This window comes from Homo sapiens, chromosome 16 (assembly GCF_000001405.40).
Source record: "Homo sapiens chromosome 16, GRCh38.p14 Primary Assembly".
NCBI lineage: Eukaryota > Metazoa > Chordata > Mammalia > Primates > Hominidae > Homo > Homo sapiens.
Genome location: NC_000016.10, coordinates 68,239,976 through 68,262,660, shown reverse-complemented (window position 1 = coordinate 68,262,660; position 22,685 = coordinate 68,239,976). Strand labels below are relative to the sequence as shown.

The 22,685-nt window shown below is 54.0% G+C and overlaps 1 protein-coding gene across 5 annotated transcripts, besides 3 other annotated features; it reads right to left on the bottom strand.

Moving 5' to 3' along the window:
* Nucleotides 1–1,602: 1,602 nt before the first annotated feature.
* PLA2G15 (phospholipase A2 group XV) lies at nucleotides 1,603–17,288 on the bottom strand. Of its 5 annotated transcripts, none has more exons than XM_011522979.3 (7): nucleotides 17,108–17,288; nucleotides 13,215–13,371; nucleotides 9,144–9,239; nucleotides 7,624–7,742; nucleotides 7,281–7,379; nucleotides 6,671–6,895; nucleotides 1,603–3,515 (listed from the first exon to the last, which is right to left on the bottom strand). In XM_011522979.3, the coding sequence occupies exons 1-7, from the start codon at nucleotides 17,232–17,234 to the stop codon at nucleotides 3,004–3,006; spliced, it is 1,335 nt and encodes a 444-aa protein (XP_011521281.1). In that variant the 5' UTR covers nucleotides 17,235–17,288; the 3' UTR covers nucleotides 1,603–3,003. The 5 variants fall into 5 exon arrangements, with proteins under 5 accessions (XP_011521281.1, XP_011521282.3, NP_036452.1 ...); XM_011522980.4 differs by having other exon boundaries at nucleotides 6,671–6,770; NM_012320.4 differs by lacking the exon at nucleotides 9,144–9,239.
* Nucleotides 16,322–16,822: an enhancer, noted in NCBI's record as "H3K4me1 hESC enhancer chr16:68279742-68280242 (GRCh37/hg19 assembly coordinates)". NCBI's record gives its function as "activates a minimal SCP1, AML or CMV promoter by ChIP-STARR-seq in naive H9 embryonic stem cells {active_cell/tissue: H9 hESC(naive)}" and the evidence as "EXISTENCE:reporter gene assay evidence [ECO:0000049][PMID:30033119]".
* Nucleotides 17,239–17,468: a silencer, noted in NCBI's record as "silent region_7644". NCBI's record gives its function as "represses an Ori minimal core promoter by ATAC-STARR-seq in GM12878 lymphoblastoid cells {active_cell/tissue: GM12878}" and the evidence as "EXISTENCE:reporter gene assay evidence [ECO:0000049][PMID:35858748]".
* Nucleotides 17,944–18,482: an enhancer, noted in NCBI's record as "H3K4me1 hESC enhancer chr16:68278082-68278620 (GRCh37/hg19 assembly coordinates)". NCBI's record gives its function as "activates a minimal SCP1, AML or CMV promoter by ChIP-STARR-seq in primed H9 embryonic stem cells {active_cell/tissue: H9 hESC(primed)}" and the evidence as "EXISTENCE:reporter gene assay evidence [ECO:0000049][PMID:30033119]".

Here is a 22,685-nt window from a genome sequence, read left to right as displayed (position 1 = left end):
ATTCACAGGTGTGATCATAGCTCACTGCAGCCTCGAACTCCTGGTTTCAAGCGATCTTCCTGCCTCAGCTTCCTACTTGGGACTACAGATTTATTTCATCTTTTTTTTTTTTTTTGAGATGTATCTCGCTCTGTCTTGCTCAGGCTGGAGTGCAGTGGTGCCATCTTGGCTCACTGCAGCCTCCGCCTCCCAGGTTCCAGTGATTCTCCTGTCTCGGCCTCCAGAGTAGCTAGGACCACAAGGCATGTGCCACCACACCTGACTAATTTTGTATTTTTAGTAGATATGGGGTTTCACCATGTTGGCCAGGCTGGTCTTGAACTCCTGACCTCATGTGATCCACCCTCCTTGGCCTCCCAAAGTGCTGGGCTCACAGGCGTGAACCATGGCGCCCGGCCTATTTCACCTTTAGAGATAAAGTCTTGCCCAGGCTGGTCTCAAACTCCTGGGCTCAAGCGATCCTCCCACCTTAGCCTCCTGAGTAGGTGGAACTATAAGCGTGAGCCAATGCACCCAGATGTCCCCATTCTTTGGATGAGGAAACTGAGGGTCAGGAGGCTCCCCAGACAACTTGGCTGGAGCTAGTAGAGCTGAGATTTGAACCCTAGTATGCTGATCCTTAAGCCTCCTCTGATTCCATGCCCTTTCTCTCTGCAGCTATGAAACTGAGGGTGATGGTGAAGCTAAAATGGGTCAGGGATGAGTGGGGTGCCATGAGTAGGGGGGTGTCAGGGCCAAGCAGGGAGTCAGGTTGGGCAGGGCCTGGGGTGAAGCTCCCTTTCATGTTGTCATCCTTTTACTGAGGCCAGAGCTGCAGCTGGACCCCAGTATTTTTACCACAGGCATTTTTACCCCCACTCTGGGTCACCTCGTCCTTCCAGGTTTGGCTAACAGGTGGTTCAGTGAGAGGGTTCAGGGCGCCCTCTTGTGGCCCCTGGTGTATCAAAGTCTGGCGCCCCAGCTTGTGGGGCTGAGTTAAGACAGAACTGGGTACCGGCTGGGCTCTGGACTACAAAATTCAGGCTGGGACCCTATCCCCTATCCATGTTTCCTTGGCTCTGTCTCTGTTTCTGTCTTTGTCCATACCAGTCTCAGCCTAGTAGTCTCTTTTCCTCCCTTGATCTCTCTCATCTGTACCTCCCCAGGGGTACAGATGGCAGGCTGATGAGCTGAAGATGCAAAGAAGGGTGGCATCCTAAAAAGAACTCTAGGTTCAAAGGATGCTGACACTTGCAAGCTGAGGGAGGACAGAGGCTGGGAAGGAGGGTGTAGCCAGGGTGACCTGCAGGACTGTCCTTGCTCCCAGCTCCTGGGTGGCATGTGGGGCCTGCTGACCAGGCAGGAGCAGGGGGAGGACAGGACCCCATTTCCACAGGAATGTTTCAGGTTCTGGTTCTTAGTCCCAGGAAGGGAACTGGATTCCAGGAGAGAGGACAGGAGGATGAGGTCCACAGAAGGGCACAGGAACCATGCTTTGATGCTGAGACAACCTGTCAAGGCTCCTGTAAAGGCCCAGCCCCTAATTTCCTGCCTCTGTAGCCACCTTGTACCTCCACCACCTCCCTCCCCTCATGCTCAGAGCAGAATGTAGGCCAGGGCACCTTACAGCATCCAGAGTACTTTTATTGCCAGAATCCAGATACAGCCTGCTCAGAGCCCCATGTGGGGCCACTCAGGAACAAGGGGAGACAGATGCCAGGCATGTATGCAACAGAGAAAATCCAGCTGCACAGAAACCCTGTGGGAGAGCAGCTCAGTCCAGCGTGAAGGCGTCTTTGGGAACCCCACCTAGAGGCTGTACCCTTTTCTCGGCCTGTGGCCAGTCACCCACTTAGAGCCTACTGCCATGAAGGCAGCCCTGACTCTCCATGCCTGCTGCCACAGGGAGATCCATGGAGCACCCTGGGGCAGACAGAAAGCCCCTAGGGGGGCCTCAGGGGACCCCTGGCTCTCTCAGGGTCCCATTCAAGTTTCTGGGCTAGTCCCAGCACTAAGCTGGGTGCTGGCCAGGGTGGATAGGAGCCCCATCCTCAGCCCTGTGCTGACCCACTTGGTACTAGTGAGACCCTAGGGCAGGGTGGCAGTGTGATGGTGGGGTTAGCAAGAGGTGCAGCTCAGGGAAGCTGCGAGCAGCCTTGGCTGCTTCCTTGGATTCCCTTTCTCCATAGGTTCCCAGAAGGCCATGGCTCCAACCCCTGCTCTCATCCTTGGAACCACAGTCCCAGGGTGAAGGGAGGCAGCTTCAGTCCTGGGGCCAATAGCACATCCGAGGAAATCAGGGCCCCTGGAACACAGCCTGCGGGACTGGGGGCACATCTGCTGCCCAATCCAGAGCTTGAATGCTCCTGGTGGTAAGGGAGGTAGGAGTGGAGTGAGATGTCCCAGGGCCTGGGAACCACGAAGAACGCAACAAACTGCCCCTGCCTGCAGGAGCTACTAGGCTCGCCCAGGAAGCCAGTCAGGCTGGCCACCAGCTAAGCCACAGGGAAGCCAGCAGCTCTAGCTACCCATGACCAGTGGCAGGCCTATCTGTGGCTGGTGTGTGGGAAGGGTCACCCGAGGGGCCAGGAGCCGATCCCTGGGACCTCTGGGTACAGGACCACAGCCCAGTAACATCCCTCATAGGAAGGCTGCGGGGCCAGGGCCCAGTAGGCAAGTATGAAAAGCCCACAGGAATAGGGGGGACACATGGCCCCAGGCAGGGACTGGGACCAGGGCCCAGCCAGTCCACCCTGTGGAGCCAGTCCTAAGGTCACAGCAGTTCCACCATCAGCAGCATTCTTGCCATCCAGTGTCCCTTGAGTCTAGACTCTCATTTCTTCCTTCTTCACTGCCACAGAGAAAGGATAACAAACAGCACTTCCCCATGGCAGATGCTTCACAGTCCAAGACTCGGGGCCTTGAATGGTGAGTCACAAACTTTGCAAAACGCGTGGGCCATGACAGCCCCAGAGGCCAACAGCAGGTCCACGGCCGAGCCACAGGAGTCCTGTGGCACAGGAGTCAGGGCCCAAGGAGCACACGTTTCAGATAGGCCAGGGTGGTGGCGTTGGCCAGCATCTCGATGTGCTCGCTGCCTGGCAGCTCCTGCAGCAACACTTGGTGCTCCTGGCGGCTCTGCCAGGCCTGGCACTGCAGGGCACTCTTCAAGTTCACAGTACCATCGCCGTCACCAAAGCAGATTTTAGGGTCACGGTCAGGGAAGCTCTCATAGTAGAAGGAGTCTGGTGTGGGGACGCCAGTACCATAGAGGCAGTGCAGCTGCACGCCAGGTGGCATCGTGGCTTCCACCAGCCCTTCTGTGTCCTGCCGCATGAGCCAGCCATCTTCAAAGCCGATGTCCTGGAAGAACTTGCGGTAGTCCCGCAGTGTGTAGTTGATTGTGGGTGTCTGCACGAACACCTTCTCAGGTGACCATGTGTAGTTGTAGGGCAGCAGCCAGCTGGTGGAGACAGCTGACCGCTGCTGCTCCCGGATCTTCAGGGGCCCGATGACTGGGATCCGGTTGTTGTCTCCTGCAGGGAGAAGGCTCTGGTCAGTCTGTGCTTAGGAATGCCAGCTGGTTGGGCAGCATGTTCACCACCAGGCCCCTGCCAGACCCCAGCCAGGGGCCCAGTCCACAGTCCCGCATCTCTACCCGGTTATCATCATTGTAATCACTGTGACTCCCATCCCTGCCTTGGCTCTTTTTTTTTCTTTTTGAGACAGGGTCTCACTCTGTTGCCCAGGCTGGAGTATAATGGCATGATCACGGCTCACAGCAGCCTCAACCTCTCAGGCTCAACCAATCCTCCCGCCTCAGCCTTTGGAGTAGCTGGGACTACAGGTATGCGCCACCATGCCTCATGCCTGGCAAATTTTTCCTTTTTTTTTTTTTTGAAGTAGGGTCTCATTCTGTCACCCAGGCTGGAGTGCAGTGGTACAGTCTTGGCTCACTACAACCTCCACCTCCTGGGTTCAAGTGATCCTCCTATGTCAGCCTCCTGCATAGCTGGAACTACAAGCACGTCCCACCACGCCTGGGCTAAAAATGTTTCCACTTTTTATACAGATGGGGTCTTGCTATGTTGCCCAGTTTGCTTGCCTTGGCTTTTATTGTTTCTCTTTATTTTTGCTACATCTGGGAACCACACATCCAAGCTATGTTTTGTTTTTTTTGCTTTCCTCACCAGGGAGTAAGGCGGCACATACCCACAGGGTGATTTATGATGCTTCCTTGCCTGTAAACTCTACCATCCTCCAAGTGCTGATCAGGCCTGTGGGCACTGACCTAGTCTAAAGTGAGTCAGCAGGTTGGCAACTCGGAGATGACATGTTCTGCTTTCCCTTTTATGACACTGAACTGTGTACCAGTTTTTCTTTTCCTAAGCTCAGACCAGCGTTCAGCCAGCCGTGGCCTCATTCCACCCACTTGCATGTGCGCTGACCTGGGCAGCCAGGCGTGCTGGAGACAGGGCACGAGGGGAGGCTGCAGATGGAGGCGGAGTCCCTATACACAGGAATGTGAACAACACAAACACCCGGCAGTCAGGGAGGCCTCCAGGAAGTAAAAGCTGCAACTTGGGAACAGGGGCCTCTGGCCTGTTCAGGATCCATGGTCACCCATCACCCCACCCTGTATCTGAAAGCAGGGAGGCCTCTCAGACTGACTGTAGGGCCTCAGCTCTGCCTGCTGTGGCCTGGCTGGGGGACCCCTGAGGCAAGGAAAGCCCCTAGGGGTGCACGGACTTCCACCTCCCCGCACCACACACCCAGTCCTGGACTGCCAAGGCAGGACAGAACAGCTTCCCAGCCTTTGAAACAAAGCTCTAAGGGGACTCACAGAGAAACTCTGAAAGGGGCCGGGGCTACCTGTCTAAACTCAGGGTATGCCCACATCCGTCCCTCCAGGCCCAGGCTAGACCGAAGTGGTGGCTATAATGAGTCCTCACTAAATCTGAGTGTCTTCCAGCCAACTCAGAGTCACTGGGCCTGACCCAATCACAATGCCAGTAGACCAAGCAGGTCAAGCAGTGGCAGGCACTTGAGCTCATGAGATGCTTGGCACAGCCCTGGCTCATAGCTCCCAAAGTGAGGGTCCATAAGCCTCCCCCAAGTCCTAGCAGAGGGAGGAAAGCTCCCTTCTAGAGGAAGAAGCTCTACTCTACAGCTGCAGCTGGTGAGCTGCAACAGTCATGAAAAGACGGGGGAGGAGCCATAAAAGGGGTGGCTTTCCCAATTGCCAGGCAAGCAGGCCCAGCCAGATCTGCACCTGCTTCCTCCCTGTGTTGCCTACAGAGGCTCCGTGCTGCCCACAGATGGAGGCGCAACTCATAAATAAAAAACTGTAGTCTAGAGGCCAGGTGCAGTGGCTCATCCTTGTAATCCCAGAACTTTGGGAGGTCAAGGTGGGCAGATCATTTGAGGTCAGGAGTTCAAGACCAGCCTGACCAAAATGGTGAAACCCCATCTCTACTAAAAATACAAAAAAATCTGGCCGGGTGCGGTGGTTCATGCTTGTAATCCCAGCACTTTGGGAGGCTGAGGCAGGCAGATCCTCCTGACTTGAGGTCAGGAGTTAGAGACTAGCCCGGCCAACATAGTGAAACCCAGTCTCTACTAAAAATACAAAAATTAGCCGGGTGTGGTGGTACGCGCCTGTAGTCCCAGTTACCCGGGAGGCTGAGGCAGGAGAATCACTTGAACCTGGAAGGTGGAGGTTGCATGAACCAAAATCACGCTACTGCACTCCAACCTGGATGGCAGAGTGAGAAAGACCCTGCCTCCAAAAAAAAAAAAAAAATGCTCTAGCCTTCCTCCTCTGCGGTGAAGGTGGGGATGAAGAAGTAAGGATGGGGTAAGAGGGAGGGATGGCCAGGCACAGTGGCTCACACTTGTAATCCCAGCACTTTGGGAGGCCGAAGCGAGTGGAACATCTGAGGTCAGGAGTTCAAGACCAGCCTGGCCAACATGATGAAACCTCATCTCTACTAAAACACAAAACTTAGCCAGGCATGGTGGCGGGCACCTGTAATCCCAGCTACTCAGGAGGCTGAGGCAGAATCGCTTGAACCCGGGAGGCAGAGGTTGCAGTGAGACAAGATTGCACCACTGCATTCCAGTCTGGGTGACAGAACCAGACTCTGTCTCAAAAAATAAAAATTAAAAAAAAAACAGGGCTGACCCAAGAGAATAGTCATTGTGGAGACCAAAGCAACTCCATTTTGGATACTAATCCACCATGTTGGCTTCTGATTAACCCCAGATCCAGGAAGGCCACTGAGATTTCCACTTTATCTACTGTTTCTTGTGCACGTACTTAACCATAAATCAAAACAGCCTCTGTGTTATCATCCTTCAATGTTCAACACATCGCATCGGAGTCGCCCTTTCCCTACAGAATATAAGCTCTGGGTCTGGGGGCTAATAGTGTGGGGATCCACCATCTTGTCTTGCCCCCACCTGAGACACAGATGTGGCTTCTATTCGTATGTCCCTATTAAATGCTTTTCTCTGAGAAACTAGATTTGTCAGCCTCTTTCTTCTTTGGACTTTTAGGGGTAGATTTGCATAGACCCCACACACCGTGGGACAGACACGAGGCATGCTGGCCCAGGAGGACACTTAGGAAGGGAAGAGAGGGCAGAATTCCTGGCAACAGCCCCCCACGCTGGGCCAGGTAGGGTCTTACCTGAAGCCAGGACGCGCAGGGTCTTGGCCACGCCCCCCCAGGGCGCACCCAGTGACACGAAGGCCCGGATATACTTGTCCTTCCAGGCCTGCGGCTGCCGCTGCAGAAAGTAGAGCGTGTACATGTTGCCCATACTGTGGGCAACCAGCACCACGGGGCCCCCATACAGCTGGTACATCTCCTCGATCATCTCGCGGAGGGCCAGGAAGTAGGGCCCGTTTTCATCTGCAGGCCAGAGCCAGGCAGGGGTCAGGTGGGAAGGGTCCTGGAGCCGGAACCACTGAGCTTTTCTCAGGCCAGACACAAGACGAGAGGGGGAGGGGAGGGTGCTCACATTCAAACAGAGCGGTCTGGGTCCCCCCGCCTTCCATGAAGGGAGGAAGCCTTATATTTCTCCCCAGGGCTCACAGGCCCAGAGGTCCCAGGGTGGGAAATGGAGGACAGGATAAGACTGACCAAAGGTGGTGGCTGTGACCACTAGACTGGATGCCAGAGGCCCAGGGACAGGAGACAGCCAAGGACAAGGGGAGAGCCCAAGGTCTGTGGTGCCCATGATCACCTCACCCCTACCTCCCGAGACGTCAGGGAGGGAATGAGAGTGCCTGCTTACTTGGGGCTCGGCGCCAGTCATAGGGAGCCCCTCGGACATCCTCACCCCGTGTGTAGCCCCAGCCCACAAGGCTCTCCACCATGGTGTGGAAATAGGAACCTGTAGACAGAAATACAGAGGATAAGAAAAGATACAGCTAGTGCCGGCCACCTACACTATGCCCAGCATGGAGACTGTGACAGCTAGCAGGTCCTTGGAAGAATGCTACAGGGCTCTGTGCCCACGCTGATCAGAGACAGCTCACAGGCTGTCCCTACAAACCAGCAGAGTTCCTCCAGCTCCAGCTCCAGTCCGGCAGAAACCCCATCCCAGCTCCCGGAGGCCTTGAGTAAGGGCTACATACCCACGCTGCTTTTGCTGGGGTCCAGGAACTCCAGTGAGAAGGTCTTCCCAAAGCCAGGGACACGTACATCCACACCATCAGGAAACTGGGTGGCCCTGGATGTTTTGTTGTAAACCAGCCTGTTGTGAGAGGATATTGAGCCAGTGACCCGGAGGGGACACTGAGCTTGGTGTGTCCCAACAGTGCATCATGTCCTGAGTCATACTCCCTTCTCATGCCCAGGTTTGGTCAGATGGATAGGAGAGACCGAAAAGTAACAAAGCAGGTTGATAAAGCACAGATCACCTGTAATCCCAGCACTTAGGGAGGCTGAGGTGGGAGGATCACTTGAGGTCAGGAGTTTGAAACCAGCCTGGCCAATATGGTGAAACCCTGTCTCTACTAAAAATACAAAAATTGCCCAGGTGCAGTGGCTCACGCCTGTTAATCCCAGCACTTTGGGAGGCTGAGGCTGGCAGGTCACCTGAGTGAGGAGTTTGAGACCAGCCTGACAAACATGGCGAAACCCCATCTCTACTAAAGATACAAAATCAGCCGGGTGTCGTGGGAGGCGACTGTAATCCCAGCTACTCAGGAGGCTGAGGCAGGAGAATCGCTTGAACCTGTGACACGGAGGTTGTAGTGAGCTGAGATCACACCACTGCACTCCAGCCTGGGCGACAGAGCAAGACTCTGTCTCAAAAAAATAAATAAATAAATAAATAAATAAATAAATAAATAAATAAAAATAAAAAGCACAGATCAGAGTAATTACATCCAAATGAGGACCCCACCAAGGCATACTTACTCCAAATACTGACCCCAGGACCCCTGTCAAAGCAACATTCCCCTCTCCCCCGTGACCCTACTCTAGAATGAGGGTCTTGGACCTGGTTGGGAGAAGGAAGTACCAGTCCTGATTCTGCCGTGAACTTCACACTGGACCCCAAGAGGCAGTCTACCCTCTTTCAGCTTTCCATCGCTCCATCTCCTTGCATCCAGCTCCTGCCAGCCCAACGTATCCCAGGTGAAGGAGGTGGTGAGTGCAGTACACAACAGAACCAGACAGGGGCCGGGTGCAGTGGCTGACACCTGTAGTTCCAACAATTTGCAAGGCCAAGGTGGGAGGAATGCTTGAGGCCAGGAGTTCAAGGCCAGCCTGGGCAATACAGTGAGGCCTTGTTGCTACTAAAAATAAAAAATTAGCCAGGCATGGTGGTGCAGGCCTGTGGTCCCAGCTACTTGGAAGGCTGAGGCAGGAGGATGACTTGCACCTGGGATATTGAGGCTGCAGTGAGCCGTGATCATGCCACTGCACACCAGCCTGGGCAGCAAAGTAAGACCCTGTCTCAAAAAAAAAAAAAAAACAAAACAAAACACACTAGGCCAGGCACAGGGGCTCACGCCTATAATCTCAGCACTTTGGAAGGCTGAGGCACGTGGATCACTTGAGGTTAGGAGTTCGAGACCAGCCTGGCCAACAGGGTGAAACCCCATCTCTACTAAAAACACAAAAATTAACCAGGCATGGTGACGTGTACCTGTAATCCCAGTTATCCGGAGTCTGAGGCAGGAGAAGTGCTTGAGCCTGGGAGGCAGAGGTGTAGTGAGCCGAGATTGCGCCACTGCACTCCAGCCTGGGCAATAAGAGCGAAACTCTGTCTCAAAAAAACAAACAAACAAACAAAAACAAACCCTAGAAAGGCACCATGCCTCAGGGCTGCTGTATGGGTGGGTAGGCAGGTAGGAGAAGGAGCAAGGCCCAGAGAAATGATGGGAGCTGGTGGGGAGAGACAGGAGGAAGGCCTTGTGTGGCCCCAGGTAGGTATAATTGGGTCCCGCTTCCTCTGCGCATTGGACACAGCAGCCAGCCAACCTCCAAACACATCCTCCATGGAGGAAGGGAATGAACCATGCTCCTATGACCTCCCAGTACCCCAGGGCTGTATCAACTGTCAGACTGCAGCCACAAGGCTCAGGGCTTGCCCAGCAAATTCCTAAGCGCCATGACATAGGACATGGACCACCAGCTACTGACTTAAGATCCCTAACAGCCCTTTCTTACTTTTCTTTCTTCTTCTTTTTTGAGACAGGGTCTCACTCTGTTGCCCAGGCTGCAGCACAGTGAGGAGATCATAGCTCACTGTAGCCATAACCTCCTGGGCTCAAGTGATCCTCTTACCTCACCCTCCTGAACAGCTAGGCAGGCACCACCAGGTCTGGCTAATTTATTTATTTATTTGTTTATTTATTTTGTAGGGACAGGGCCACACTATGTGCTCATGCTGGTCTCAAACTCCTGGGCTCAAGCGATCCTCCTGCCTTAGCCTCCCAAAGTGCTGGGATTATAGGTGTGAGCCACTGCACCCAGCCTATTAGTTTTCTAGAACTGTGTAATAAATTACCACAGACTCAGCAGCTTCTAACACCACACACGTGATCTCATAGTTTCTGTAGCTGCAGTGCCAAACAGAACCAGACAGGACAGACCCCGCCTCAGGGCTCAGTACACAGCTGCTGCACCATCTCCTGTGGGAAGAGGGTTGTCAAGGCCTGAAGAAATGATGGGAACAGGGTGATGGGCCAGGGGAGACACCTTATACCAGGAGAAAAGCCTTGTGCCTCTGTGCGAGGCTGGGAACCTTGCTCTGGCCTCGCCACACACTGAAGAAGCAAATGTGCCCCCAAAACACAGGAACCTGGAGTTTCTGGTGGTCCTGAGTCCCACTTGCCCACTTAGATATCAGCCACTGAAGCTGACAGGATCCCCACAACTGACCCAGATAACAGGTCCTGGAGGCCCATTCTCTCCAGGGCAATTTGTAGATTATCCCAATGACCACATAGCAAAGTAGCTTGTTGCTACTAAAAATAAATTATCAAACAGCAAAATGCAGAAAACTGTTCTGGAAAGCCAAAGCAGTTCTGCGCTGGGTGAAAATCTAAACGGGTCAGAGAAGCAGTGAAGGCAGACAGGCCCCTCTTGGTATCAGCTGGCACCTCCAACTGGCAGCACCTGAGGCTGTGTCCCCAGTATAAAAATAGAAATGCACATCAACAGCCCAGAAATAACCCCAGTCACACAACACACAGAGGAGGAAGGAGTCATCAAAATGGGCATCACAAACAGCCGGCAGGCCAGGGCACCTGGAGGAGCAGCTAGCGGGTCTCTGGGAAAAACTTTTTTTTTTTTTTTTTTTTGAGACAGTCTCGCTCTGTCACCCAGGCTAGAGTGCAGTGCCCCCATCTCTGCTCACTGCAACCTCTGCCTCCCAGGTTCAAGTGATTCTCCTGTCTCAGCCTCCCGAGTAGCTGGGATCATGGGCGTGTGCCACCACGCCCGGCTCATTTTTGTATTTTTGTATTTTCTTTTTTTTGAGATGGAGTCTTGTACTGTCACCTGGGCTGGAGTACAATGGCACGATCTCAGCTCACTGCAACTTCCACCACCCAGGTTCAAGCGTTTCTCCTGCCTCAGACTCCTGACTAGCTGGGATTACAGGCGTGAGCCACCATGCCCGGCCTTAATTTTTGCATTTTTAGTAGAGACAGGGTTTCACTGTGTTGGCCGGGCTAGTCTCGAACTCCTGACCTCATGATCTGTCCACCTCAGCCTCCCAAAGTGCTGGGATTACAGGCATGAGCCACCGCACCCGACCAGGAAAAACTTTTAATTTGGGAGACTCCATTCAGCTCAAACATTTATCAGGCGCCAACTGTGTTTCTGGTTCTACTGCTATAAGGATAAAACAGACACACACTCCCTCCCTTCACGGAACTCAGCCTGGGAGGGAACCTCAGCTCAACGCCACACATTCTGGATTTGAATTCTGATTCTACCACTTATTAGCTGAGTGAGCACAGTCAATTTTGTAACCTCATTGAGCCTCCAGATTTCGCAGTTGTAAAGCAGGTTTAAAAACCACCTGTTGGCAAGTAACACTGGTGAAAAAAAAAAAAAGAAAACAGCACCTATTTCAAAACGGGGTTGCTGTAAGACTAACTGAAAGAAAGTATATAAAATGTACAGTGCCTGTGCAATTTGGGCAAACATGCCTGCAGACAAATTCGGGCACATGATGATGTTTAGAGGAAGCAAGCATGGGGCCTGGGAGGAGAGGCAAACCGCTCTGGGGAGTCAAAAGGGACATGTCACAAAGGGACCAGGGTCAGGTTTTTGTTGTTTTGAGACAGGGTCTTGCTCTGCAACCCAGGCTGGGTACAGTGGTCTGCTCACTGCAACCTCTGCTTCCCTGGCTCAAGCAATTCTCCTGCCTCAGCCCCCTAAGTAGCTGGGACTACAGGTGCATGCCACCATGCCCAGCTAATTTTTTTGTATTTTTGGTAGAGATGGGGTTTCACCAAGTTGCCCAGGCTGGTCTTCAACTCCTGAGCTCAGGTGATCTGACTGCCTCAGCCTCCCAAAGTGATGGGATTATAGCAGAGCCACCATGCCTGGCCTAGGGTCATGTTTTAAAGAGTGAATGGGGCTGGGTGTGGTGGCTCACGCCTGTAATCCCAGCACTTTGGGAGGCTGAGGCAGGCGGATCACAAGGTCAGTAGATGGAGACCATCCTGGTTAACACGGTGAAACCCTGTCTCTACTAAAAAATACAAAAAATTAGCCGGGCACTGTGGCGGGCGCCTGTGGTCCCAGCTACTTGGGAGGCTGAGGCAGAAGAATGGCGTGAACCCGGGAGGCGGAGCTTGCAGTGAGCCGAGATAGCGCCACTGCACCCAGCCTGGGCGACAGAGCAAGACTCTGTCTCAAAAAATAAAAGTTAAAAAAAAAAAAAAGAGTTGTGAGCCGAGATCGCGCCATTGCACTCCAGCCTGGGCAATAAGAGCAAAACTCCGTCTCCAAAAAAAAAAAAAAAAAAAAAAGTGAATGGAAGCCATTTATCAGGCAAAGGGTGTAGAAATAGATTCCAGGCCAAAAGAACAGCAGGTACAAAGACATGGCATGTCCCAAGAAGAATAAGCAGCTGGAGAGGTAGGGGAGGCCGAGGCACAGACAAGGAAAGGGGTGGGGGCCATGCCGAGGCTCTGAATAGGGGCTGGGACACAGAAATTTTGTGTAGGCAGGCGTAGTGGCTCATGCCTGTAATCCCAGCACTTTGGGAGTCCAAGGTGGGCAGAACACTTGAGCTCAGGAGTTCAAGACCAGCATGGCCAACATGGTGAAACACCATCTCCACTAAAAATACAAAAAATTAGCCAGGCATGGTGGCGGGCACCTGTAATCCCAGCTACTTGGGAGGCTGAGGCACAAGAATCGCTTGAACCTGGGAGACGGAGGTTGCAGTGAGCTGAGATGGCGCCAGCCTGAGTGACACAGCAAGACTCCATCCCAAAATAAAAGAAAAAAAAAATTGTGTGTAGGCATGAGAGGCCAGGACTGGAGAGTAGAGGAACAAGGGCAGCAGGAAGGGAAAGTTAGTTCTGCCTGGGAGTGCAGAGGTGGTGCCAACCAGACCAGACCAGACCAGACCGAGGACCTGGGGAAGGAGAGAGGTCAGTGACCTCGAGATGAGGATAGAAGGAACAGACTCTGGAGGCCTCTCAGGCACTGTTGGTGAGCAGCACCCCCCTCTGTGTGCCCCAGCCCCCACCTGATATTGTCAATCCAGCAGTCAATGATGACAGGCAGCAGCAGTTCCAGGTTCAGCCAGATTGTGAAGTAGCTTTCGGTCTTCTTGGAGCAGAGGTAGTGCACCACTGTCGGCTTGTCCAGCTTGGCTTCCAGTTGGTTACCCAAATCACCAGGGACTGCAGGGGGCACAGGACATGTGTGAGCCCTCAGCCCGGCAGGTTCAAGACTCCCAAGAACTTTGATGTCTGCAGCAGACCCCCTGAAGAGCCACAGATAATATGGCAGACCTGTGCAGTTCCACATCTCAAATTAAAGCACAGTGCTGGTGGCAGGAAATTCAGAGAGCAGGGACCTTGACCCAAAGGCCAGGGAACCATCTTTGTGCAGAAAAGCTGCTACTGCTGTGTGGTGCAGAGATGCCTGTGGGGGGCTTGGGAGAGGCCTGACATGTTTGGGGAAGGGCCCTAACATTGTCTCCAACTCCAGATAAAGTAAGTCTCCTGGATTTTCACTGGAACATCCTCCTGGGCCATTCAGATTATTGGAAGGGGGTTCAGGGTGAAGTCACTCCCCACACTAGGCCTCAGTTTCCGTATCTGTTAAATGAGATCTTGGTCTGAATCACCCCCAGCAAACACAGACACACCTCTACACATGGTTTCTATGGTTAATGGACCCCGATGGGAGCTCTGCCTGGGAGGAGGGGCTTGGAGACCCCTTTGCATTCCAGAACCTCCAAAGTTTGGCCAAGGCCCTTGTCATTAGATATATACCTTCGAGGCAGGGCGCAGGGGCTCATGCCTGTAATCCCAGCACTTTGGGAGGCCGAGGTGAGTGGATCACTTGCGGTCAGGAGTTCAAGACCAGCTTGGCCAATATGGTGAAAGCCCATCTCTACTAAAAATACAAAAAATTACCTTGGTGTGGTGGCACACACCTGTAATCCCAGCTACTCAGGAGCCTAAGACAGGAGAATTGCTTGAACCCGGGAGGCAGAGGTTGCAGTGAGCCAAAATCGTGCCATTGCCCTCCAGCCTGGGTGACAGAGCAAGACCCGGTCTCAAAAAAAAAAAAAGATATATACCCTGGAGGCTTGAACCCAAAAGTCTTCCACCCATAGCTATCCCAGGCTACATAGAAGACAGGGTCCTGTTCGCCCTGAGAGAGGAAGAAGGAAACAGAACAGAGCCCTGGGCCACTCAGCTAAAATTCAACCAGACAAAGTATGCAGGACAGGCTGGTGGGAGGGAAATGAACAGAAACACAGCTGAGAGAAGCTTACATTGGCACCCGCCAGCCTACCAAGGGCCCAGGCCTTACTAAAGGCCAGAGTCCAGTAAGGTGCCAGAGAGCAGATCATCTGGAGGGCCCTAGCATGGCTGGGAGCCCGTATTGGAAACAGCCACCCTGAACCAGCACCATTATCACCACAGTCCAGGCCCTAGGGTGACTTCTCTCCATCCCAGCCATCCTATTCAGTGTACTCAGAACTCTGGGGCCCTGGTGACACCCAAATCCCTCCCCACTGCGTCAAAGCCCTTCACAGTCTCGTTACTCCCATTGACCTTTCGGGCCTCACCTGCCCCCACATGCCATGCTCTCGCCACTTCCCAAACACATCCCCGTTTAGGGTCCATGATCATTGAGTGAAAAACCAGCACTTGGCTCTCCTGGACATTCACTGGGAACTGACCGTAAATCCACCCTGAACAGGGCGTGCCCTCCCTGGGCACCATCCCAGTGTCTTCAGGGTGCCATGAGAGGCAGGGGCGGCACATGCCTTCACCTCCCTTCATGGTATGGGTGCAGAGGGAGGGAGTCCCTGTCATGACAGCCTCTGGATGACATGCCTGTGGACTGGGCAGGGCAGGGCAGAGACCCTGGTCACTGTCTCTACCAAAGGGGAAATGGTAAAAGAGGAAGTCACCAGATCTGCTTTGCTCAGATGCTCCTTACCCTGGTCAGGCTGTGTGGCCCCTAAAAATAGCAGTGGCCACTTCCTGAGCCCATCTGCGCCTGGAACTAGGAAAAGAGCCATCCACATGCCTTTCACCTCAAGTAACACTGGGAGGGGACAGCCTTACTATTTCCACTTAACAGATGGGGAGACTGAGGCTGCAAGAGGTGGAAATGGCCTTGCCTATGGTCCCTTCCCCTTGCCCAGGGTCTTCTGTATCACATCGCTGGTCTCTCTTTCCTCCACCACCATTTCAGGATCCACCCCTAGAGGATTCTGATCTTCTGACAGTCAAGGTCAGATCCCTGCTCTGTGCCCAGGAGCTGCTTATCCAACTGCCCACCGTGAGGTCTCCCAGGGCTAAGGCCAGCAGCCTCACTCCCTGAGAAGCTGGGCATGTTAGGACTCCTGCTGCTCTGTGATTCTGGGTGGGGTCTGAGGCTCTTCTGCTGTGACCAAGGATAAACAGACTGACTGAATTGATGAGTGCGGTTAGCATCAATCCAGGCAAAATGGCTATGTGCCATTTTGTGTGCCACAGACCACATGCTTCCTAATGCCACGCCCCTCAGACTTAGAACTCTGCAGGCCAACCCAGGACTCCCTGAGGCCCTCAAGATAAAGTTCAGATGACCCAACCAGTCACAAGTCCTGTGCAGTCCACTCCTCCTGTGACTCGATCCCAGGCAGCCTGAGATGCTCACGTCTCTCCCCGACCCATTACTCTCTCCTGGCCTTAGCTCCAGCTATATACTCCAGGAAGCCTTACTTGACACCCACCCATCCAGGCTGGGTTGGTGGATTCTCTGTGCTTGCCCCACACAGACTTCCTCTCTGGGGATCACTGTTATTCCTATCCTGCAAGCTTTGGGGAGGCAGGGCCAAGTCTGCCCAAATCCCATGGTGAACCTGGGCCTAGTATCCCCCTGGAGCTTTTCCTGGCTGGGAACTCCTGGTGGGGCCTGCCTGGCACCACCCTACCTGCCAACTCTACCCTTCTGTGATTTGCATCGTCCCCATTTAAAGTACTCTCAGCAGAAAGAGCATGGAGATCATGCTGCACTAGACTCCACGTGTAATTCATGCCTCAGATGCCTCTGCTTTCAGGAATCCTGGCTGGCCACGGACACACCAGCTCTGGATGGGAGTGACGGCCTCAATGAGGCACCCAAGGCCCCCCAGACAGAGGTCTCATCCCTGCCCATCCCTGCAAGGAAATACAGTGGCCGTTGTAGAGTTGCCAGGGTTGTGATCAAGGAGCGGGGTGAGCAGGGGAGGTCACCGAGCCTCCACATAGTCTAGTCCAAGCATGTGTGGCAGGGTAAGAGTACAAGCATGTTGCCTGACACAGGTTCATGGCCATTGTCCCAACCCTTTCCCCTGACTTCAGTTGTCTTCAGTTTCCCTTAGGCCTTTTCCCTCAGGCAATGCCACACATCTGATAAGTTGTGGGAGTTGGTGGCCAGCTAGGACAGCAATCCTTTCCCTAAGGAGGTTCCTTTCAGCAATGCCTTCTGGCATATGTGGCATTGGAGGGGTCGAGGGTGACAGCCTCCTAACCAGGCCCAGGTCGATGCAGAAGTCAACTCAGGAGCCACTCTACACACCCCCACCATCCCTCAGGAGTGGGGCTGAAGCACCTGTCTTTCCAGCTTAAAAATGGGATAAGGGGAGGCAAGGCTTGGGAATGATGCGGACAGGTGGAACTATGAATAACCAGATGGTAACTCTCCCACTCACCCCCATTTTCTACCAGGACAGGAGGTGGGGAGCTGACCACACCCGCGCCCAGCATGGCGGGAGGTGAGCCGGCAGATCTAGATCACCTAAGTGACAAGACAGATACCAATACGCTCCCCCATTTCGTGACTGGAACAGAAGCAGACCGGGAAGGCAGCCCCGCCCGCGGCCCGTCCCGCCCGACCGACAGATCCACCACGAGACCCGTGCCTCACCCAGCACCACTGGGGGGTGACGTCCGGCCGGGAGCGCTGGGTCCGCGAGCAGCATTAGCAGCAGCAAGAGGAACAGGAGGCCATCCGGGAGCAGCCCCACACGGTAGGGGCGGAGGTGGAGGCCCATGGTGTACGACGGTCGCCGCAGGTCCGGGATGCAGGTTCAGCTCTCTGGGCTCTCGCCTAGGCGGGGGCGGTGGCGACGCGCTTAACCCCGCCGCCCGCATCCCCCGCATCCCCCCGGCCAATCAGGGCCCGCCTCCCGCAAATGGCTGGCCAATAGGGACTCGCCGCCATATACGCCCCTCCCAGTCGGAGGTCGCCGCCCCGCCCTTGCCCAACCCCCTGCTTCCTGGACCACGCTGAGCGCCGAGCGCATCGATGGATCGAGGTATCGCCTGGCTCCGGGCTGTCAGTCGCCCACCCGGGAACCCAGCTCGCCGCTGCTGTACCCCGCCCAGCCCTGGGTACCCGAAATCCACGCTGCGCAGCTCTCACTTGGCGACCCCCTGACCTGGAGGATCTGGAACGGACAAGACCGGGAGAGGATAAGGGGTGCAGCGCTGGCCGCTGCTGAGCGACCCCGGTTAAAGCAAGAAGAGAGGAAGTGAGTCCCGGACAGTTCTTGGGCCTCAGGTGACCAGGAGCTGACCAGGACCTTTGTGCAGCCCCCACACCAATTCTTAGCACACCCTGCCCCGAGGGCACCTGGGTGCGGCCAGTCAGCCCCTGTAACTCTGCCCCGGGGTTACAGATGCGGGGGGAACCGGGAGAGGCCAGGTCAGCATGTTCAGTTCCCAAGAGAGGGGTTAATCTGTTCGTTTTAGGGGCGCAGAGTGCAGCGTCACCCCGCCAGTCCGGGCAGTTCGGGCGCGGGGTTGGGAGTGGGCTTGAGTCTCGACCCTGCGCCATGGGCCATCTGCAAGTTCCCCTGCAGAGCAGGAGAGGCATCGGGAGCTCGTGGTCCCCCTCCACTCTCGCAAACCTGGGGAACCAGAGAGGACATGGACTCCCTGCGCCAGGAAGCAGGGGCGAACAGAGTGGGCAAAGACCTGACAGCTGGTTATATGCCAGCACCATAGGTCACTGTGGGATAGAGGGACGAGAGTATTTGGGAAATAGAGGTCTTGATCCTCCACACACCCACCCCTTCGAAGGGGCAGCTGCACCCTGGTCATCCCACCTGGTCCCAAGAAATTTGTCCTGCCCCTTCCTTCCTTCTTCTTGGTAAGCAGCTGACCTGGCTATGAAGCCACTATCTTGCCCTGCCCTTCTCGAGTTCTTATAGTGAAACATGTTGGTGACTGGGCTACCACCACCCTCCCTCTTTCTTTTTTCTTTTTCTTTTTCTTTTTTTTTTTTTTTTTGAGACAGAGTTTCGCTCTTGTTGCCCAGGCTGGAGTGCAATGGTGCAATCTTGGCTCACCGTAACCTCCGTCTCCCGGATTCAAGCAATTCTCCTGCCTCAGCCTCCCGAGTAGCTGGGATTGCAGGCATGCGCCACCACCCTGGCTAATTTTGTATTTTTAGTAGAGACGGGGTTTCTCCATGTTAGTCAGGCTGGTCTTGAACTCCCAACCTCAGGTGATCCACCTGCCTCGGCCTCCCAAAGTGCTGGGATTACAGGCGTGAGCTACTGTGCCCGGCCCCTTTTTCTTTTCTTTCCTTTTTTTTTTTTTTTTTTTTTTTTTTTTGAGAAAGGGTCTCTCTGTCACCCAAGTGCAGTAGCACAATCACGGCTCACTGCATCCTTGACCTCTCAGGCTCAAGCAATCCTTCCCACCTCAGCCTCCTGAGTAGCTGGGACTACAAGTGTACACCTCCAAGCTCAGCTAGTTTTTTATTTTTTGTAGAGTTGGGGTCTCACTATGTTGCCCAGGCCAGTCTTGAACTCCTGGCCTTAAGTGATCCACCTGCCTCAGCCTCCCAAAGTGCTGAGATTACAGATGTGTGCCACTGTGACCAGCCCCACCCTCTCTTAAGGTCCAGCCATCTCCCGCTAAGGCCCTGGCTCAGAACTCCCACTCCCAAAGCCCCTGCCTCCCCCACCTTCACCCGTGACCCAACAGAAGATCAGTGAAGACCCATCTGGTGAAAACCCAGCGTGGGAGACCAGAGACTCTTCTGCAGGCCTAGGGACGGGCAGAAGTCCAGTCAAAGGTTATGTGGAGGAAGAGAAGGATCAAGAGGTGCTGGGCCACCTTGGACTCTGGCCACAGTCTAAATGTCTTGCCAGCCCAGCAGCATCCGGTGACCATGGGCCCCTGGAAGGGTAGCCCTGTCCTCAAGAGGGGTTCCTTGGTGCTTCAACCCCACAGGCCCTGCATGTGTTAGGAACCACAGCCATTAGGGGCAGGATGGCAAGGCCTGGTCAGCAATGACCCATGCTGGCACTGTGGAGAAGGGTCAGAAAGTGAGGGTCCTCCCTTTTCACAATGACTCTGCCATCCACCTGATCCCCCAGGCTGCAGACTTGGCATCATCCTGAGCTCTGGATGCTTCCATGCTTCTCAGAACCACAACTCAGGTGGTCATAAGGGCTTGCCAGCTCTACACTCCCCAAACCACACTACCCTATTCCCACAACAGCCTCGTCACTGATGTCCCAATGCACGCCCTCGTTCCTGTGGGTCGTTCTCCACATGCCAGGCTGACACCTTTTTTTTTTTTTTTTTGAGACAGAGTTTTGCTCTGTCACCCAGGCTGGAGAGCAGTGGCGTGATCCCGGCTCACTGCAACCTCTGCCTCCTGGGTTCAAGCGATTCTCCTGCCTCAGCCTCCTGAATAGCTGGGATTACAGGCACCCGCCACCACGCCCAGCTGATTTTTGTATTTTTTAGTAGAGACGGGATTTCGCCATGTTGGCCAGGCTGGTCTTGAACTCCTGACCTCAGGTGATCCACCCACCTAGGTCTCCCAAAGTGCTGGGATTACAGGTATGAGCCATCACACCCGGCCCTGATTTTTTTTTTTTAATATTGCTCAAATTACTATCTCAAATTGTATGGTTTGCCCTACAAACCATAAATTCTCATTAGATGGGTTTTATTTAATCCTATATATCGGAACTTACTTTGCAATCTGACTCTGGCATAACATTAGGTGACAAGAAAGTCAAAATATTCCAAAACAATGTTTCTTTGCCATACTTGGAAATGGTCCTGCAAAACTGTCCTTTGTGGAGGAAATTTTGCATCTGTAAAGAATCTCTATTAACATAGCTAGATTTTCTTCCAGGCCCTCCCAAACCTGAAGAGATTAAGAGTTTAGCACCTTTCACAGGTCTGAATAGGGCCGGGCACAGTGGTTCACGCCTGTAATCCCAACACTTTGGGAGGCCGAGGTGGGTGGATCCCCTGAGGTCAGGAGTTTGAGACTAGCCTAGCCAATAAGGCGAAACCCATCTCTATAAAAATAGAAAAATTAGCTGGCCGTGGTGGCGGGCACATGTAGTCCCAGCTACTCGGGAGGCTGAGGCAGGAGAATCACTTGAACCCGGGAGGCGGAGGTTGCAGTGAGCCAAGATCATGTCACTGCACTCCAGCCTGGGAGACAGAGCAAGACTCCATCCAAAAAAAGCGTCCAGGCTGGGCATGGTGGCTCACACCTGTAATCCCAGCACTTTGGGAGGCCGAGGCGGGCGGATCATGAGGTCAGGAGATCGAGACCATCCTGGCTAACACAATGAAACCCTGTCTCCACTAAAAATACGAAAAATTAGCCAGGCGTGGTGGCAGGTGCCTGTAGTCCCAGCTACTCGGGAGGCTGAGGCAGGAGAATGGCGTGAACCTGGGAGGCGGAGCTTGCAGCGAGCCGAGATCGCGCCACTGCATGCTAGCCTGGGTGACAGAACGAGACTCTTGTCTCAAAAAAAAAAAAAAAGTGTCCAAATATTTTACAGAGTTTGACTCTTTTCATCAACAGAATAAATCCAGAGACTTAGGAGCCAGTCTAGTTGTGCTATCTTCCTTGGGTGAGCACACAGCCAACACCCTTCGCCCCTCCTGCTACCTGGCCCTTTGCACTCCCTCTCGCTGGCCTAAGCTCCAAGCTCCCCTACCTGAACTAGGTGGATCCCAGGCTTGAGGCAACCAAACTAAGCTCAGGGCTTTCGGGCTGATTTGGTGGCCAGAGCTGAGTCCATTTAGAGGCCGGTGGAATCTCCCTAAAGCTCATGGCTCAGCAGTCCCCCATTCCTCTGCAGCCAGTCTCCCTGCAGCCCCGAGATGCCTAACACTGATCCAGCCACAACAGAACCCTGGAGGCAAAGGGCCCAGAACAGAGATCATGCCACTGCACTCCAGCCTGGGTGACAGAGGGAAACTCCGTTTCAATAAAATTTTAAAAAATAAAATATAAAATAAAAGCCCGGGCATGGTGGCTCACACCTGTAATCCTAGCACTTTGGGAGGCCGAGGTGGGCATATTGCCTGAGTTCAGAAGTTCAAGACCAGCCTGCGCAATGTGGCGAAACCCTGTCTCTACTAAAAATACAAAAAATTAGCCAGGCGTGGTGGTGTGGGCCTGTAATCTCAGCTACTTAGGAGGCTGAGGCACAAGAATCACTTGAACCTGGGAGGTGGAGGTTGCAGTGAGCCGAGATCGTGCCATTGCACTCCAGCCTGGGTGACAGAATGAGACTCTGTCTCAAAAATAAATAAAAATAAAATAAGCCTGGCGTGGTGGCTCACGCCTGTAATCCCAGCACTTTGGGAGGCAGAGGCGGGCGGATCACGAGGTCAGGAGTTCGAGACCAGGCTGACCAACATGGTGAAACCCTATCTGTACTAGAAATACAAAAATTAGCTAGGCGTGGTGTTGCGTGCCTGTAATCCCACTACTCAGGAGGCTGAGGCAGGAGAATCGCTTGAACCCGGGAGGCGGAGGTTGCAGAGAGCCAAGATCGTGCCACTGCACTCCAGCCTGGGCGACAGAGCAAGACTCTGTCTCAAAAAAATTAAAATAAAATAAAACAAAATAAAATAGGTCAGGCGCAGTGGCTCACGCCTCTAATCCCAGCACTTTGGGAGGCCGAGGCAGGCAGATCACTTGAGGTCAGGAGTTTGAGATTTGCCTGGCTAACATGGTGAAACCCCGTCTCTACTAAAAATACAAAAATTAGCCGGGCGTGGTGGCGAGCACTTGTAATCCCAGCTACTCAGGAGGCTGAGGCAGGAGAACGGCTTGAACCCGGGAGGCGGAAGTTGCAGTGGGCCGAAATCGCACCATTGCACTCCAGCCTGGGAGACGAGACCAAAACTCCGTCTCAAAATAAAATTAAAATAAAATAAAATAAAAACAAAGCCAAAGGGTATTGGCCTGATGGGGGCATCTAGGGGACCCCCTTTTCACCACTGTACTGGTGCTTTGCTCGACCTCGGGCGCACGCCCCTGCCCCCCTGGTTCTGGCAACGGAGTCAGCGCGCCCTCTGGCGGGTGCTCGGCAGCCACTCTGCACAGGTGCGGGGATCCCAACCCGGGAGGTGGGGCCCAACGCGCTGGCTAGTGGGGTGGCCCGGGACATAAGGAGGGTCGCTGAGAGCGGGGACGGGTCTGGGCAGACGAGTGTGGATCTCCG

Coding starts and splice junctions, on each gene's coding strand:
- PLA2G15 (XM_011522979.3), bottom strand. CDS start 17,234: ATGGGCCTCCACCTCCGCCCCTACCGTGTGGGGCTGCTCCCGGATGGC. Junction 9,240..13,214: donor TGCTGGATTGACAATATCAG/GTGGGGGCTGGG, acceptor CTTATTGCCCAG/GCTGGAGTGCAGTGGCGCAA. Junction 7,380..7,623: donor CCCCAGCAAAAGCAGCGTGG/GTATGTAGCCCT, acceptor TTCTGTCTACAG/GTTCCTATTTCCACACCATG.